Below are 2,433 nucleotides of genomic sequence, written 5' to 3'. Positions count from 1 at the left end.
GAGACACAGATCTTTCCTGATTGTACGAAGTATGATAAAATGGTGTTTCAGTAACGAAAGTATGGCAGCAGAAATCCACGTGAAGGATTTGCTTGGGTAGTTGCATCAGGTGCAGTCACTTAAAGCTGTGCGGAACCGAGAGCTCCCTCTTGTGGGATGAGACTCAGTTCACTGCTTTTCTGCCCAGCTGTGCCGGCTTGCTGCATCCCTGGCTTCACTCTTCTAACAGAATTTACCCGAGATGCAGGTCGTCTTCTACAGGATGGGGAGGAGCAAGGGTGGTCAATGTGGAATACAGGTCACATTTCTTCCAGATCATATCATGTCACAGCAAGGCTGGGCTCTGCTGAGTTGAATGCTGTCTCTGTCCTCTCCATAGACTCTTTCTTATTTATTGCTCCCCCAGCTCCACAGCTGCTGGCTTTCAGACACAGGGGCGAGGCCGGTCTCCTTCCTGGAGTGGGCTGTTCTTTTGCCTGCCTATTTAGAATTATGCACCAGATTTTATTATGATTCCACAAATTAACAATAACGCTAATTTTTGAAAAGATTATCGTTTTAAACACAATACAATAGCATGAACTCAGGGAATAGTTTGTTATAACTAATAATTCAGAAGACCTCAAACCCTTTTTTTACTGAGCAGTAATAACTAGTGTTTCTAGAATATATATTTTTTCTGACAGTAGAAACAATAACTAAAAGGATAACCATTCTAACACAAAATGTTCTACGGATTAAAATGCCATTTGTTTCTAAGTAAATAAGATGTCCTTACAGACCCACATTTTGTTGAGCTATGAGAGTATTTGGACTTTTATCACCGTGTTAATTAGGAAAGGGAAATTCAGAGCAACAATTGTGGTTTCTCTTAGGAACTAGGTACAAAATGATTAGGGAAATAAGGAAAGCTCTTACTATCATGGAGGATAAAGATGTGGAATTGCCGGCTTGAAGACTGGAAACATGAATGAAGAACATATGGGCTGGAACAAATGTATGAAACTGAGCTACACACCAGTCCTGGGAATGTTGGGATCTATCTCTTGGGTCAAACAAGATCCCTGGCACAGATGTAAACTTCTATAAATGTTTGTAGATTAAATGAACAAAGATTAGTTTGGGACTAGAATAGTGGGTAGAATAATAGCTGGCTCAGATCGAGGATGAAAAGGTATCTTTTGTAATTTTTGACTTTGCCAGTGGTTTGGGGAAAGGGTGGTGGTATGTTTTGGCACTAGGAGATAAGGTTTAAAAGGATCCGCAGAGATACAGTCCAAGTCCCAAGGAAGCCAGATCAAATTTCAATTTCGAAGGCAATGTCACAGTAGGGTAGTGATGCAGGCCATTTATTGTCCACTTGGTTTCTTAGACACAGACCAGCTCTACTGACTATACACAGACTGTTATTGTTTTTTTCAGTTTTCCAGTTCAGAAACATATACTTTTGGTGGAAAGGTGATCCAAGAGATTTGTAGGCAATTCAGTAAAAACTCATACCTACTAATGGAGAAAATATCAAAGCAGCCATCTTGATGAATTAAATGGCCATCTTGTGCATTAACGACTATCTGGCAAAAAGAAAGTTGAACTACTGTTCCTAAACTGAGTATGTTTATTTCCTCCTAGTCAGCTATAGAAAGCGGCTGTCTTAAGTCTTTGCCAGTTTGGCCTCATTAATTGGTCCCATCAGACTGGTGAGCTCCTTCTCAGTGTGGCTAAACAAGGTTATACTTCATAAGCAAACAGTGCTCTAGGAAGTGATTAGAAAATTTTTTGTTTAGGCAAAGTATACCCTGTCCTATACTCCTCTCTTCAGTCCTTGTCGTATTGGTTTGAACAAGAACATTAAGTACCTGATAATCAGTCTCAAATCTCTATTTATTTGATTCCAATTATACTGTCTATAGTTGACTACATCACAGGATAAGAATTCCAAATCTTAGAGAAAAAGATAATTTGATATTGATTCTGAGTTGGTAGGAAAATATCCAAATGTATATATGCTCAACCAGGACAAAACCTCAGGTAGAAAAACAGTGTTCTCGTTGGAGAGAAAAATGTACATTATTGTTTTTTCTCCATGCTTTTTTTTTTTCCATGTCGGAACTTTTATTAGACAGAAAATTTTGGCTTTATTTCCTGCCCCTCTGATCTACATCTCCTAGTCCATTTTGAAGACATAGTCAAATTCATCTTCATAAAGAGTCAATTTGATCATTAACACTCTCCCCTTTAGTAGTTCCCTATCATCTATGGAACAGAATTCTAACACCTTGGTTTATAGCTGGGCATTGATGACACAGTATTAATCCCATTATCATTATTATCTCTACCATCATCATCATAAACATGTGCTGAACATTTAACATGTGCCCAACGCTAGGCTTGGTTCTTTATCTCATTTTATCCTATGAAGAAGGGATATTGTTA

General features: G+C 38.6%; 1 annotated feature.

Moving 5' to 3' along the window:
• Window positions 204-253: an enhancer, noted in NCBI's record as "active region_4061". NCBI's record gives its function as "activates an Ori minimal core promoter by ATAC-STARR-seq in GM12878 lymphoblastoid cells {active_cell/tissue: GM12878}" and the evidence as "EXISTENCE:reporter gene assay evidence [ECO:0000049][PMID:35858748]".

Source organism: Homo sapiens, chromosome 10 (assembly GCF_000001405.40).
Source record: "Homo sapiens chromosome 10, GRCh38.p14 Primary Assembly".
Lineage (NCBI taxonomy): Eukaryota > Metazoa > Chordata > Mammalia > Primates > Hominidae > Homo > Homo sapiens.
The sequence above is the reverse complement of the archived record's forward strand: the minus strand, read 5'-3'. Positions and strand labels throughout refer to the sequence as shown.